This window comes from Homo sapiens, chromosome 1 (assembly GCF_000001405.40).
Source record: "Homo sapiens chromosome 1, GRCh38.p14 Primary Assembly".
Taxonomy (NCBI): Eukaryota; Metazoa; Chordata; class Mammalia; order Primates; family Hominidae; genus Homo; species Homo sapiens.
In genome coordinates this window covers 86,767,605-86,784,731 of record NC_000001.11, presented here as the reverse complement: position 1 = coordinate 86,784,731, position 17,127 = coordinate 86,767,605, and the positions used below count along the sequence as shown (strand labels likewise).

Here is a 17,127-nt window from a genome sequence, read left to right as displayed (position 1 = left end):
TATCTTTGTCTGATTTTGGTATCAGGTAATATTGGCCTGATAAAATGAATTTGAAAATGTTCCTTTCTCTTCCGAGATCACGCCACTGCACTCCAGGCTGGTGGAAGAGCAAGATTCTGTCTCAAAAAAAAAAAAAATTAATAAAATAAAAAGACAAAATGAAAAAGAAAATGTTCCCTCCTCTTTAATTTGTCGGAAGAGTTTGGAAAGAATTGATGTTAACTTTCCCTTAAATGTTTGTTGCTTCTCCAGTAAAGCCATCTATCTGATCCTGGGCTTTTCTTTGTTTAGAGGTTTTTGACTGCTAAGTCAACCTTATTAATAGTGACAGGTCTGTTCAGCTTTTTATTTCTTTATCATTCAATCTTGGTAGATCATATGTTCCTAGAAATTCATCTATTTTTTCTAGGTTATTCCATTTGTTGGCATACAATTGTTCATAGTAGTGTCTTATGATCTGTTTTATTTCTGTGGCATTAGATGCAACATCTCATTTTTCATTTCTGATTTTTGTTATTTGAGTCTTCTGTATTTTTTTGTAGTTATTCTAGTTAAGGGTTTGTCAATTTTGTATTTTTTCCAAAAAACCAACTCTTAGTTTTATTGACTTTTTTCTGATGTTTCCTATTTCCTGTTTTGTTATTTATGCTCTAATCTTTATTTATTTCCTTCCTTTGGGTAACTTTGTGTTTAGTTTGCTCTTTTCTTAGTCCCTTGAGTTGTAAAGTTAGGTTGTTGATTTGTGATCTTTCTTTTTTAAATGTAGGCATTTACCACTATAAACCTCCCTCTTGGTACTATTTTTGCTGCATCCCTTAAGTTGTGGCATGTTGTGTTTTCATTTTTATTTATCTCAAGGTATTTTCTAATTTCCCTTGGGAGGTATTCTTTGATTCATTGGTTGTTCAAGTGTGTGTTGCTTAATTTCCATATATTTATATAATTTCCAGTTTTCCTTCTGCTATTAATTTCTAGTTTCATTTCATTGTGGTTAGAAAAAATATTTGGTTGAAAAAAAATTTGGTATTAAATTTCTTTATACTTGTTTTGTGGCCTAATACGCAATCTATCCTAAAAAATGTTATATATGTTTCTGAGAAGACTGTGTATTCTGCTGTTGTTGGTTAGAGCATTTGGTATATGTCTGTCACATCCCATTGGTCTTTAGCGTTGGTCAAGTCATCCGTTTTCTTTCTTTTTTTTTTTTGAGAAGGAGTTTCGCTCTGTCGCCCAGGCTGGAGTACAGTGGCACAATCTCGGCTCACTGCAAGCTCCGCCTCCCAGGTTCACGCCATTCTGCTGCCTCAGCCTCCCGAGTAACTGGGACTACAGGCGCCCATGTCCAGCTAATTTTTTGTATTTTTAGTAGAGATGGTATTTCACCGTGTTAGCCAGGATGGTCTCAAACTCCTGATCTCGTGATCCGCCCGCCTCGGCCTCCTAAAGTGCTGGGATTACAGGCGTGAAGGTCATCTGTTTTCCTACCGATCGTCTGTCTGGTTGATTTAATCCATTATTGAAAGTGGGATATTGAAATATACTGATATTGTTTTACTTTGTATATCTCTCTTCAATTCTGTCAATGTTTGCTTTATATATTTGTGTGCTCTGTGGTTAGGTGCATTTATAATTGTTATATCTTTCTGGTGAAATCACCCTTTTATCCTTACATAATATTTTTTTGTTTATGAAATTATATTTTGCCTGATAAAAGTATGTCCACTTCTGCTCTCTTTTCATCAACACTTGACCAAAAGGATTATCATCTTTATATTTTCCTATTCTTATGTTGCTGTCTAGTGCTCTTTCATTTTAACTTGAGGGATTCCCTTTAGCAATTTTTGTAAGGCATATCTAATGGTGATGAACTCCTTCAGCTTTTGTTTATCTGGGAAAAAACTTATTTCTCCTTAATTTTTGAAGGACAGTTTCTTGGGAATATAGTATCCTTGGCTGGTAGTTTTTTTTTTCTTTCAGCACTTTTTTTTTGAGACAAGGTCTTGCTTGCTCTGTTGCTCACTTGCTGGATTGCAGTGGTGTAAACATGGCTCACTGCAGCCTTGACCTCTGGGCTCAAATGATCCTCCCACCTTAGCTTCTTCAGTAGCTAGGACCACAAGCATGACCAACATGCCCAGCAATTTTTAAAAATTTTTTGTAGAGATGGGATCTCACCATGTTGTCTAGGTTGGTCTCAGACTCCTGGGCTCAAGCAATTCTGCCTTGGCCTCCCAAAGTGCTGGGATTATAGGCATGAGACACCATGCCCAGCCTGTTTCAGCACTTTGAATATATTATTTCACTCACTTCTGGCTTGTAATGTTTTTGCTGATAAAGTTGCTGAAAATTTTATGAGCGGTAACTTGTATTTGACCAGTGGTTTTTCTCTTGCTGCTTTGAAGAGTCTCTCTTTGACTCTGATTTTTGACAGTTTGATTACAATGTCACTTAGTGTGGGCCTCTTTATATTCTTCTTATTTGAAATTCTATGAGCTGCTTGAATTTGCATGTCTATTTCCTTCCTCAGATTTGGGAAGTTTTTGGCAATTATTTCTTCAAATAAGCTCTCCACCTTTTTCTCTCTTTTTCTGAGACTCTCATAATATGTATATTAGTCCACTTAATGGTGTTATATAAGCTATTTAGGCTTTCTTCACTTTTTTCCATTCATTTTTCTTTTTGTTCCTCTGGCTTGATAGTTTCAAGTGATCTGTGAGTTCATTGATTCTTTTTCTGCTCGATCGAGTCATCTATTGATTGAATTTTCAACTCTATTATTTTATTTTTCAGCACCAGAATTTTTGTTTGGTTCTTGTTTATAGTTTCTCTTTGTTGATTTTCTCATTTTGTTCACGTGTAGTTTTCCTGATTTTATTTAGTTGTCTATCTGTGTTCTCTTGAGCACTGAGCTTCTTAAAGATTATTTTGAATTATTTGTCAGGTAACTTGTAAATCTCCATTTCTTTAGGTTCAGTTTCTGGAGATTTTCGTGTGTGTGTGTGTGTGTGTGTGTGTGTGTGTGTATTGCACCATGTTCCCTGTTTCTTTGTGTGCCTTTTTTTGGAGTGGGGGCTGGCAGGGGTGCAGGGAATTGCGACTCGGGCAATTGAAAACTCAGCCACCTCTCCTGGTCTTATAGACTGGTTTCACGCAAGGGAAGAACCTTAGCAATCATCCTGGCTAGCAATTCTGGGGTCTCTGAAACCTTTTGTGGGGTTATATCTTCTCTCAGTTTGTGTGTATAATTTTACAATTAGAGACATTTGCTCCCTTTTTTTTTTTAGATGGTGTTTTGCTCATGTTGCCCAGGCTGGAGTGCAATGGCATGATCTCGGCTCACAGCAAGCTCCACCTCCCAGGTTCAAGGGATTCTCCTGCCTCAGCCTCCTGAGTAGCTGGGATCACAGGCGCTCACCACTGTGCCCGGCTAATCTTTTTTTTTTTTTTTTTTGGTACTTTTGGTAGAGACGGGGTTTCACCATATTGGCCAGGCTGGTCTCAAGCTCCTGACCTAGTGATCTGCATGCCTCGGCCTCCCAAAGTGCTGGGATTACAGGCGTGAGTCACTGCTCCCTGCCTGCTCACTTTTTAAGAAGGAGTTTGTAATATCTTGTTCCCTCTGGTGTTTGTCTGGAATATTGCAGACTGTCTGGCATTGTATCAAGCTGATGATCTCTCCTTTGTTCTCTGTGGCCCTCAGGTATCCAACACATGCTTATTTGGTTAGTACTCTGGGTCAGGTAGATAGATAGAAATCAGATCGTAGGCCAGCCATCTAGATAGCCAGAATGTTGGACACATGTTCCAATCTTCTCTTTCTCTCCCAAGGGAGAAGGTGTAAGCTGGATACTTTTTCCCAGTTACAATACGCTGTGCCAACCTGGGGGAAAGGCTGATGCAACTGAAATGAAATGGTTCTTCTTAACCATTTGGATGTGGTGTTTTTGGTTTTGAGCTTGCCTGGGATATTGCAACTTCTGAACTGTTTTTGAAGTTTTCATAAAGGCTTTGGACAGTATGTTGTTGTTAAATCAATGTCTCCATGGAGGAATAAAGTTTGGGGCTTCCCATTCTACCGTCTTGCTGCTGTAACTCCATCACCTACGCAGTCTTTTTGCCAAGAACATTTTACCTAAATCTAATAATGAGGGAATAATCATATAAATCTGGGGACAATTTAAAGACAACTAGCATAAATCCTTAAAAAATATCAATGTCATGAACCTCCACCTCCCACCCAAAAAAAAAAAAAAAAAAAAAAAAAAAAAGGGAGAGTGTTAAAAGAGACAAAAGAGATATAATAGGTAATAGGTCCATGAAGCTTGATTAGATTCTGAGTTTTTAAAAATGCCATAAAAGTCATTTTGAAGATAATTGAGTAACTTTGGATATATGCCGCTTATTAGATGGTATTTTTAAATAATGGTAAATGTTTTAGGTGTGATAATGGTATGGTAGATATGTAGAAGAATTTCCTTGTTCTTAGGAAATTTATCTTGGAATGTTTACAGTGGAAATGTCACAATGTCACAACACACACATACATGTACAGGGGATGAACAAATATATGACAAAATGTCAACAGTTGGTGAATCTATATGAAGGTTATACAGGTATTCTTTAAACTTTTTATAAAATTATTTTTCAAAATAAAAAGTTGGGGAGATAAGCCCTAGGAGACATTATTCTTATCATTCCCATTTTACAGATGAGAAAAATGAGGTTCAGAATGGTTAAGTAGCTTACTCTAGGTCACACAATAACAAAGTTGAGAATTCAACCTGAGTAGGTTTGTGCAACTTTCATATTTTATGAGCACTTGAAGGAAGAATTGTTGTTACCACTTTTTACAGAGAAGGAATCTGAGACCTAGAGAAGACATGGAATGCCCAGGGTCATGGGTATAGGAAATGGAGCCAGAGCATCAGTCCAGTGTTACCTTTGGAATTTGGGGCTTTTCCCATTGTATGTTGCTGAGAAAGCGAGAGGGAGAAGGAGCAGGAGACGTTGAGATAAGACAGAGGCTAAAAGCCTTAAGTTTTCTCTTTCTGATAAACTTCCCACCTTTACCCTGACAAGTGTTTTAGTAAGATCTGGGAATGGAGCCAGCCCTGAGATGTAGCAACTATGGGCTCAGTTTACAGTCTGATGGATCCTATGCACGCGCTGTTCTCTGCCAGCTCTTTCTTCCACCCTGCACTTGCCTCCACACCTCTCAACATTCTCTCTCTCACATGCACTCAGCCTCTGCAGACCTTACTCCTCCTCATCCTTCAGGCCTCAGATTAGACTGCATTGATTTCAGGAAAACTTTCTTAAACCTCAGCAATCCCTACCCCATCCGCATTCCCGTAGGGTAAGAGACCCCATTTCTTTCAGAGCTTCCTGTTATCACGGCTACTGTTGGGCACCAATTATGAGCGCTAACACGTATTAACTCATTTGGTCCTCAAAACCTGTAAGATTGATAGTAATATTATATCCCCATGAAGAAGTTAAGACATAGAAAACCTAATTAACTTCCTTAAGATAAAATAAAATAGTATAAATTCAAACACAGGCATCTTGTTCAGAACCTAAACTTTTAACCACTATGTGATAATTGCTCTTCTCAGCATGTGTTTATTTACTCTCTGTTTTCCCTGTGTAAGTGAAAGTTCTATTACTTGTTCACTAGTATATCCTGGAACTTGGCCTGGGGCCTGGCATCATCAGGGCCCAATAAATACTTGTTTAATAGATAGCAATGTGGGTAGTGCAACGGGAAGAACAAGGCATCAGGAGTCAAACATACCAGAGTTTGTTACATGGCCACTTACCAATTAGGTGATTTTGGGTAAGTCAATTGACTTTGTAGTGCAGCCATTTTTGTAACTGAAAAATGGAAGTTATTGTGGGAATTCATTGCAAAAGTGTGTTATAAACTGCACTTGGTATAAATGTGAGTCATGATGGTTTCTTATCTCTGGAAGGTAACCAGAACATGATTCTTTCTACTTCCAAAAGAAAAATAAGGTAGAGGCTGTGATCAGAAAAAAGTCACTTCCTGCCTATGCTGACTAGGCCTCCAGGATAGGCCTGAAATTCTGTTAGGTCACGAGACTCTTTGGCTGCCCAAAGAGGCCTGACTTAAGTGCCTAAGTCTGTGCCTGCCTTTGGGAGCTCTGCTTAGGGTGTGAGACTCAGTGTGTCCATGGGGAGCTAATGGGCTGAATCCAGGGATGAAGCCAAGCACTGGGATAGCTCTGCAGCAAAATCAGAAAATGGAAGTGAGAGAATTGTGAAACCACTGTCTGCACTCATCCCTACGGCCACCTAACCCCAGGAGAGGTCTCTGCAGAACAAGGTGCTGTGGGTTCTCTTCTCTCCATCCATCATATTTTAACTGCCTGTGTGCCACTGCCTCCTGCTCAGACATGGGGGCAAGCCCAGGATGAGCATGTAACTGTAAGGAATGACGGGATTAGGTCCACCCTGAATCACGTTAGGAAAAGCAAGAAAACAAATCCCAGAAAAACATGGTTTCAATCTTGTAAAGCCTAGAAGTAAGGCTAGTTCTTCAAACTATTTCTTGACTATGTCTACAGGTATTAAGCTACTTATAAGCTTGGCGAGATTAAAAAATAGATGTTTTGTGAAAATTAAGAAAAGAAAGTGGCACCTCTCTGAGCCAGAAAGAACATGGTAGGAATTAGTAATGCTTTTACTAAAAATGTTGGTTGCCCAGTTAGAGACCATGGGAAGTTGCAGACCCAGGAGGTCTGGCTTTCAGAGAGTTAGACGGCACTTCCTGAGGGACATGGAGAGAGAAATGTAGCTGGATACAACTGTCTGCCAGGCCTTGGGTTGATCGAAATATTAAGCTACATAAGCCCAGTTCTTGCCCTCAAGGAGCCCTTAATTTAGTGGATTTTTATTTAGATTAATTCTAAGAAGTAAAAAAAACAAAACAAAACAGAAGTGTATGGATTAAGGAATAGTTAACTGGGGTCCTGTTTCTAGTAAAATGCTATTCAATCTTAAAAAACAATCAATGGTAAGGAAACACAGCGAAGGCATGACAGTCAAATTTTTAGGTGACAAAAATCTTGGAGGACTAACTCAAATTTGAATGTCTGAATCAATACTTTAAATATGTTTTGACAGAATCAATTAAGTCCAAGTTGAACCTAACTTAAGTTCAAAATAATTAATTAGGTGAGTAGACTGTTAAGCAAATTTGGGCTTAAATTACACTTTAAAAAAGTAATGTCGGCCGGGGTTAGTGGCTCACACCTATAATCCCAGCACTTAGGGAGGCCAAGGTGGGCAGATCACCTGAGGTCAGGAGTTCAAGACCAGCCTGGCCAACATGATAAAACTCTGTTTCTACTAAAAATGTAAAAATTAGCTGGGTGTGGTGGCACGTGCCTGTAATCCCAGCTACTCAAGAGGTTGAGGCACGAGAATCGCTTGAACCTAGGAGGTGGAGGTGTGAGTTGAGGTCATACCAGTGCACTCCAGCCTGGGTGACAAAGCGAGACTCTGTCTCAAAAAAAAAAAAAAAAAAAAAAGCAGTAATGTTGCTTTAGTCAGCCACAGACTTAATATGAGCCAGAATGAGTTTGCCACAAACATGAGTGCAACCCAAGGATGGAATAATAGAATAATAGAAGTAGCGTGTCCAGGACAAGTGGTGTACCACCACTATTGTCTGTTTTGGTCCATTCTTGGTCTAGAGTCTTTTTTTTTTTTTTTGAGACAGAGTCTCACTCTGTCACCCAGGCTGGAGTGTAGTGATGCGATCTTGGCTTACTGCAACCTCCACCTCCTGGGTTCAAGTGATTCTCTTGCCTCAGCCTCCTGAGTAGCTGGAATTACAGGCACGCACCACCATGCCTGGGCCTAAAAAGTCTTCATATGACTCATTTTAAAAAGGATGTTTGGCCAGTCGTGGTGGCTTACGCCTGTAATCCCAACACTTTGGGAAGTGATGTGGGTGGGTTGCTTGAGCTTAGGAGTTCGAGACCAGCCTGGACAACATGGTGTAACCCCGTCTCTACAAAAACTAGTGGTGCCTGGTGGTTCATGCTTGTAGTCCCAGCTCTGTGGGGGCCTAAGGTGAAAGGAATGCTTGAGTCTCAGAGGTTGAAACTGCAGTGAGCCATGAACATGCCACCACCCTCCAGCCTAGATGACAGAGTGAGACCCTGTCTCAAAAAACAAAAAAAAAAAAGAAAGAAGAAAGGGAAAAGGATATATTCATAAGTTCTCTTTCCCTTCACAAAATTTGTCTTCCATTTTTGTAAGACTGTTGAAAATGCATTGAGAATTTTTATGGTCATCCAACTAGAAGAGCTTTAAACCATGACCAAAATTTAAGGTCTAGAAGCCAAAATAATCATGCATAATGAATTAGTCTTTTATTTCCTGGACCTTGTTATGACATTCCGTAGATTTCACCATACTGTTCTTGAATTAGATGCATGATACAATGTCGTCTTTCTTCAGTCTTTTCTTTAGCTCATGATCTCTGCAGCCCTGTAATTGTGTATATTCCTTTGGATATTGTTATCAGCCTCTTTCTCTTCATTTTCTCCTTGAGAATTCATCTACTCCTGTGGTTTACAACTTCTTCCTTCTTGGATAACCTAGAAACCTGTAGTTGCACCTCGGGTTGCAACTTGGACTCCAGTGTTGTATTCCAACTATTTAGGGAAAAGGAATACAAGATAAGGGAGCTAAATTTTGTTTAGAGCATTTTACCTAATTCCCACAATAACCCTGTTTGGTTTGGGCATTAGCACTTTTCAGATGTGGACACTGGGTCACAGAGAGCCCAAAGTCAGAGTTTCATGGAATAATAAGTTGATGATTTGCACCCTGATCTTCTGGCTCCTATTTCAGGGCTCTGTCCACCATGGCTGCCTCTCTTTTGTATCTTATGGTCTGTATTTGGCATTTATTATTCACTCCATCCATTTACTTATGTAGAAATATTGCATGCCTACCATATTTCAGGAACTATGCTAGGGATGGGGGAATAAGGAAATGAGCAGGACACTGTCCTTTCTTTTAGAAGATAACAGGCTGTCAGAGGAGGTTGAAAAGACAGATGACTGCACGAGGTGATAAAGGCCCTGATCTTCTATGGAATGCACTGTTTGCCAAGATAGCTGGGGAGGCAGTCAGGGAGAGATATTTCATGAGGTTTTGAATGAGGAGTAGAAATTTGGCTTCCCATTCCAACAGGGCTGTGCCTTTTATTTCACTTTGCAGGTTTATATGTCTTGTCTTCCTCCCTACCACAAGTACAGGCATAGTAGGCCCTCATACTGTTGAATGACAGCTACAAACAGGACTGAGGCTATAATGCAACAAAATATCCATACTTAATTCTTAGGTAAAAATCACAATATATCAAAACAGATTTCCTATCAGAACAGTTATCAGCATGAGATAGTTCCTCCCTACTTTGTAAGGGAAGAAATTATATAGTGGTGAGATTTAATGGCTCATTTAAGGTCACACAGCATTTAGTGTCAAAATCTTGAGCAGGGTCTGCTCCTCGGACTCCCTATCTTGTACCTTTCAACATCTGAATGTGACCGACTCTTCCAGAATAGCTGGAGACAGAGCCTGAGCAAGAACAGAACAGTGTTTCATCGCTGCTGGTCAGAGGAAGAGTCCACTAAAGTGCATCCAGTATAGAGATGCTAATGGCCTATTAGGATCTTACAATTCTGGCAATTTCTTACCACCCGGACATTAATGACTACAATTAATTATTCACCTCGATCAGACTCTGGGAAAACCTGCCAGGTGCTGTCCTACCCTATGAGAAACCACCTTACTGCCAAAGAGGAAAAGGTTGTTTTTTTTGTCCCTGAATTCACAGAGGGGGAAGCGGTTCTTTTTAATAGGTCTGGAATCTGAACTTTCATAAAAGGCACCTTATCTCCTGACTTTCTCATATGTCTTCATCTGTTCTATTGACTCTCTTTGATGGAATATACCAGCCGGCGCTACAAAGTGCTTTTTAATACTTTGGTAAACAGTTGAGAGAGAAACCTCATTACAGATAAAGTGAGAAGTGAAGTTGGACAGCCCATTTATCTTACTCAAGATGAAGTAAGGGCTGTTGCTCAATTAGGCTAAAATAAAATCTCTCATGTTTCCTTCCTAATGTCTTGTTTGGGGGCAGGGGTATGGGGGCGGGGGAAGTGAGTGGCAGGATGAGTAAGCTTCTGAAATATTGCCCAAGAATGTGACAGGCATCGGGGGAGGGAAATGAGCTTCAGCAGCTGCTCCTACAGCAGTCACTTTGCATTGCTTTCTGCCAGCAGGAAGCGGGGGCATGAGATAGCTAGGAGTCAATCAGAGACAGCCAGCTCAAGTCCTTCTTCAGTCCTGGCCACCCCACTTTCATTAGCAGCCTCAGAAAGGAAAGGGGAGGAGGGGCAGATGGCAAAGGATTATTGGTGGGGCTTTAGGAAGAGGAATTGAGAAGAGTGAATTTGATCCAAATCTAAAATGTATAAAGATTGTACACCTGCTCTTATTCTTTAGTCATTAATCATAGCGGTTTGTTGCTGTTTTTTAATGGGGATGGAGGGGGACAGAGGGAGTGCAGGGGTTGGGAAAGGATGGTGGCAGTGAAGGAGAATGAGAAAACGTGTCTTGTTGCCCTGAGCTTGCACCTGGCTCTTCCTCAGTGTGCTGTGCTGGTTGATAGAATGTTTTCATTTTCTTTTCCCCTCAGAGACACATGTTTATTCTCTTAAAATGGGGAAGATCCCATTTTTCCTTTCAGACTGTTTAATCTGAAAGGAGAAGATCTCGGCCAGGAGATACCTTGTTTCCAGTTTGAATCAGATCAAGTTTACCCTGAGAAGTCTGAGATATGTTTTACAAAGGCAGATAGAATGAAGGCCAAAGTTCTGACTCATTAATTTGATATTTTAGATGTTGTAAGTACAAATACTCCCTCCTAAGCTCAGGTACTAATCTTGTTTTGTATATGATATCCATGGTCATTAGGACTTGTAGTCTACTCTTTGTACTGTGACTTCAGAAAATGTTTATTTAGATAGAAAGTACAAACTACCCTTTCCTTCAAAACTTTTTTGTGAGCCTTAGAGAATCATGTACTGAGGTATTGCCAAATGGTGTTTTGATTCAGCTCCTCTGATTAGGTCATTAAAATAAGAAGATTTCACTTCCTCTCCTTCAAGGATAACCAAGAGCCCCAGGTTGGAAGGAGAGCAACATCCTTGTCAGCTGGCCTGTAGCGCAGTGAAGACCACAGCTATCACCACTACATCAAAACCAAAGTCTGAGAGCACCTGCCTGCCCCAGAAGATTCAGAATCGTGCCCCAAATCTGCCTCTCTCAAGAAAAAGATAAAATGCTCAAAGATCACCTAGAATACTTTACCCATCGTATATAGTAGAGCAGGATGAAAAATCTGGGTTGATTTATGGAGTGGTAAATAGTCCCTTGTTGACAGGATAAATTTGTTTAGAATTTTGATTTACCAGGAATGTGCCATGAAGCAAAGCTAAGAGGCAACTGGGAAGTTCTTCAAGCAGGTATTAGATTTGGAAGTGAGAATTTAACTTGGATGCTTGTCGTTGTGGCTAGAGTTGGGCAAGACCCAGAGAGGGGAGCCAAGTGATCAACTCCTAATACCTCTTTTAGCCACTTTTTATGTTAGGAGATTTTACAGTCCTTTTCTAAGACTTTCAGCAGCCTAAATCACTAGGAAGGTGGTTAGCCTGGCAGCCATCATAACTGAGATTGTATGTGTATATACCCTGGATTTACCTGTAATCTGTGAGCTCTTCGAAGGCAGAAATACTGTGTTTTTCTTTTGTTTAGTAGGTGCACAAAGTGTAATAACTGTGGCTGAACTGAACTCAATGGACTGCTTGGTGTCCTACTGCTGTAGACTAGAGCAGATACAGCATTTTCCAAGTTTCCAGCAAGTCTAGTAGGACTTCATAAAATGGCAGGCTGAAAATCAACCTGCAACTAGTAGCATATTTTACTAAAAATACTCCTGTCTCTATAGAGGGGTGTGTGGTCTTTGTGGGGGCAGGAAAAGTTACTAAGATGTTTCCACAGGTTTATGTAAGACTATCCAACTCCAAATCCAGTTTCTGTGTTCACCAACCCACCTGAAACTACCAAGGTGGTTATCTAGACACCTTTCAACCAGGAAAAAGATGCCCAGGCCAGGAATTTTTTTGAGAGAGAAAGAGGAGAGAAGCTAAAATAAGTTTTCACAGCCTCTTCATTCAAGAAATTGAGGTTAAATAGAAGGCATAAGTTCTAGTATTTGATAGCCATTCACAGTAGTGTTCACAGTAGGGTGATTATAGTTAATGATAATTTATTGTATATTTCAAAATAGCTAGAAGAGACTTAAATGTTCCCAACACAAAGAAAGGATAAATGTTTGAGGTGGTGGATATCCTAAATACCCTAATTTAATCATTATACATTGTATGCATGTATCAAAATATCACATGCACCTCATAAATATATACAATCATGTATCAATAAGAAATTTTAACTAAAAATGATTACATAAACTAAACTACAATTACATAACCACAGAAAACTAGCATGAAAGTGGTTATTTACTTTGAAAAAAAAAGAGAGAAATTTAGAACTTTATAAAGGAAATAAAATGAAAATAGGCCACAATGAACAGTTGACACAAAGCTGAGAGGAATTGAGTACATGACCTCGAAGGAGTCTCCTAAAACTAAGAGGTGGGTCAGAAAGCTGGCAAGCTCTAATGCTTAGACTCACACAAGTCCATGTGTGAAATTAGACTTTTGACCTCCAGGCAGTGGTCTTCAACCCAACGGGAATGCCCACCCTTGGGAGGAGAGCAAATGACTTTCCATGAGGCCCTTACATTTCTTGTAAGGAAATTAATTTTTATATTCTCAATTTCCAACTGTACTTTTTCCTAAGATTGATCTGCCAAGTCTGTGATTGGTTGGCTCTTCCCACCTCCTTTTAAAATTCCCTTTTTTATTAATGACAAACAAACCTCTCATCCATTCTAAATCCTATTAATGTGGATTTCCCAGGGCACAAAGCGAAGGGACAATTCCAGGATGCCTTGCTCCTGAGGGGAGTCCCATGGGTGCCAGAAGGAAATGTTGAAGGGAACTTTTTATTCTTATCCAAGAGGGAAACTCTTGGCAAGGCTCTGAGGGCTCATTCATCCATTCTTCCATCCATCCATCCATCCATCCATCCATCCATCCATCCATCTATCCACTCATCCATCTTTCAATTAGAATTTGAAAGTGAGATGTTTGTCCCAGGGATGAGCATAAATATGCTTATTTGAATTGAAAAATGAAGTAAGACTTTTTCTGACAGAAAGTCAGTCTGATTTAGATGACTGATTTGACAATGACTAGGTTTGCCAAGTTCTATGGTGGATGTTGCCTATAAATTGATCTTAGTATACAGTTCCAAGATTTTGACAAAAAAATATATTCAGAGCCTGTATGCATCATAGAACATGTTGGGAATTAAGCTTATAATTAACATTTTTTTAGTTTAAAATTGTGTAGAGTGCACATAGATTATTTTTCAAAAACATTTAAGGAAATATACAAGAAAATTTGACAACTGCATTAGGGATTCTTAGAGGGCTAGTCTAGGCTGGAGCAATTTGAGGAGGTTTCTTGAAGTGCTAGAACTGAGCTGGGTTTTAGAGGATGGTAAGATAGTTCAAAGTGAAAAGGCAGAGAAAGGCTCTCTGGTTATTTATTTAGTGTCAACAGGATAATGTGTTTCGTACAACTTGAGGTTGTACCAAACATGAGTGGAGAGATGGTAATGTGACCAGCTTAGTCTCAGGACAACAACCATTGGAATGGTAGGAACAATAACGCTGGTCACCTGTCTTAGCCTGAAAAGATTTAATATCTCACTTGCTGGGGAGTAGAAAGAGGGCAGATTGAATAGGTGAATGGGCAATAAGGCAAGTTAGAAAAAGCTTTAAAAGCCCCATAAAGAAATCTAGATTTTAAGCCACACGAACAAAGCAGAGTTTAATCAATGTTAATCTCTCTCATCTTCTCTCAGGGTGTGTTGTTCTTCCTCCGAATCTCCATAAAGTCATTTCCATTCTTTTGCTATAGGATTGCCATGTCATGGCAATCATTTGTTTACATGTTGATCTCCTCTGTTAGTCTGTAAACGTTTCCAGAACATGGATTATGTCTTATTTGTCTTTGTAGCCCCAGGGCCTAGCACATTTCCCCTCAAGCAATGGGATCTTAATAAACTTTTTATTAATGAATGAAAAAATGAACAAAAGAAATCCAAAAGAAAGGTGAAGAGGGACAAACTAGGAAAAAAGGACTAATACTGCTAAGTAGTTTTAGGTACCAAGGACTTTTAGTCATCAAGCTAATTCTCACCTGTGGGATAGGAAACACTGTTGTAGTCTGAAAGCTGAGGAGATGATGCCTAAATTTGTATAAGTGGTGAGTTGTGAAGTCATTTCTGAAGCGAGTTTAGTTCTAAAGTATATAGAAATTTTACTTTGTTGTCTATGAGACTGTAGGTCACAACTCGTTAGTGGCTTATGATTAAGGCACGTCCAGATAGCTGGCAAAGCATTGTTTCTGTGTATGTCTGTAAGGGTGTTTCTGGAAGAGACTGGCATTTGAATCAGTGGACTGAGTAAGGAAGATCCACCCTCATCCAATCAGCTGAGGGTCCAGATAGAACGAAAAGGTAGTGGAAAGGTGAATTTGCTCTCTCTTACTTTCTCTTTTCTGGAACGGAAACATCCTTCTCCTGATTTTGGACATCAGAACTTCAGGTTCTCTGGCCTTTGGACTCTGGAACTTGCACCAGAATGGCCCCCTAGGTTCTTAGGCCTTCGGCCTCAAACCATCAGTTACACTTTGGCTTCCTTGGTTCTGAGGCCTTCAGACTTGGCCTGAGCCATGTTACCAGCTTCCCTGGTTCTCCAGTTTGCAGATGGCCTATCACAGAACTTCTCAGCCTCCATAATCACAGAGCCAATTTCTCTAATCAATCCCTCTTGTCTGTCTGTCTATCTATCTATCTATCTATCTATCTATCTATCTATCATCTATCTATCTATCCCTCCGTCACTCCATCCATCCATCCATCCATCCATCCATCCATCCATCCATCCTATTGGTTCTGTCTCTCTGGAGAACTCTAATACATGAATCATAACCAGCATTATAAAAAGAGAATAGAACAGAGTAAGAGTAACTTTACTAACTTTTCAGTTATGTGTGTGGGCATGTATGTGTGTGTTTGTACTTGGTCTCAATGTAAAATGCATTTCTTACTATGGATCATAGTGAAAAAGTTTGGAAAATGAAGTACTGTATACTTTTATGCCTGAACTAAGTAGTGATAGTGCTAGTAGAAAATAAAGGATTGACGGGAGAGACGCTTTGAAGCAAGAGCGGACATGACATGACATTTTTGTCTTTTTCTTTCTTTCTTTTTTCTCTTTTTCTCCCTTTCTTTCATTTTCTTTCCCTCGCTCCCTCCCTCCCTCCCTCCCTCCCTTCCTTCCATCCTTCCTTCCTTCTTTCCCTCCCTCCCTCCCTCTTTCTTTCCTTCCTTTCTTGGAGTCTTGCTATGTTGCCCAGGTTGAAGTGCAGTTCTTGGCCTCACAGGATCCTCTTGTCTCAGCCTCCTGAGTAGCCAGGACTACAGGTGTGTGCCATCATGCCTGGACAGGACTTAACATTTGATTGGCTATAAGAGTCAGTTAAAAAGGTCACCAAGGCTTGGAACCCCAGACATTGGAAGAATATGGGTACCATTCATATAAAAATTAAAGTAGGGGGTTGTAGCATCATTAATGCTGCTCACACATTTCTAGCTCTTTGCCTGTGTGTACATGATAAGCTTATACTTCTTGGACCTTTCATGTGGGTAGAGTCATGTGAAGAGTTCAAGGTAATAAGATGTGGGTAGAATTGATGTGTGTCACTTCCAGGCTGGGGCATATAATAGCTGGTGTGAGACCCTCCAGAACTTTCATTCCCTCTGCTGTGGCACCTGGTGATGTTTGAAATAGTGGCTGCTCTATCAGTCTGGGATCTGGAGTGAGGAGATTTGGAGCAGAGCTTGTTGGTCAACCTGTGGTGGACATGTTGCATCAGTAAGAAATAAACTTTTGCTATCTTAAGCAACTGAGAATTGGAGACTATTTATTATCACAGAAAAATTTAACCTATTCTAATTGACAGAGGGGTAGTGCTGGTGGAGGGAACGCTTCTTCTTTGTATTACTGAGCTGGAAAGGGGAAGCACACAAGTCACATATGGTTTCTGAGGAAGCTCTAGGCTAAACAATAAGATCTACGGGATGAAGGGAATATGAATTGAAAGTGTAGAAAATTCCATTATCAAAAACTCTAGACCCAGAAGTATCACATATGTAGAAATTTTACCTCCATCTCCTTCCACACTCTTTAATCCCTCTGCTGGGCCAGTTCTTGAGCCAGCTGCTCTCCTTCTTGTGGTAGATAGAATAGTGGCCCCCAAAGATGTCCATGTCTAATCCACCTTGTGAATATGTTATCTTACAATTGTAAAGGCAATTTCGCAGCTGTCATTAAGGTTAAGGATTTGAGATGGGACAATTACACTGGATTGTGCAGGACTCAATCTAATCACACAAGTCCTTAGAAACAGAGAACCAGAGATAGCAACAGGAAAAGCATTCAATTCACTGTTGCTGGTTTTGAAGAAGTAGGAAGGGGGCCACAAGCCAAGGAATGCAAGCAGTCTTTAAAACCTAGAAAAGTCAAAGAAATTGATTCTCCCTCAGAGCCTCTAGAAAGAATGTGGCCTTGCCAGCACCTTGATTTTAGCTCAGTGTGACCCAAGTCAGATTTCTGACCTACAGAACTGTAATACAAAACATTCGTATTCTTTAAGCCACCAAGTTTGTGGCAATTTGTTAGCACAGTAATAGAAAACTAACACACTTCCCTCCTCCTATACAGAAATATTCCTTTGCTTTCTTCCTTGTGCTTCTTGCTTCTGTCATCCCCGCAGGATGAAATGCTTGCCAATCCTGCTGATATCAGCTTAAACTCCACCTCTTCAA

General features: G+C 40.0%; 1 annotated feature.

Annotated features, from left to right (window-relative positions):
* Positions 9,921-11,120: an enhancer, noted in NCBI's record as "MED14-independent group 3 enhancer chr1:87239295-87240494 (GRCh37/hg19 assembly coordinates)". NCBI's record gives its function as "activates an origin of replication core promoter dependent on BRD2, BRD4, P300/CBP and CDK7 cofactors, and independent of MED14, by STARR-seq in HCT116 cells {active_cell/tissue: HCT116}" and the evidence as "EXISTENCE:reporter gene assay evidence [ECO:0000049][PMID:35650434]".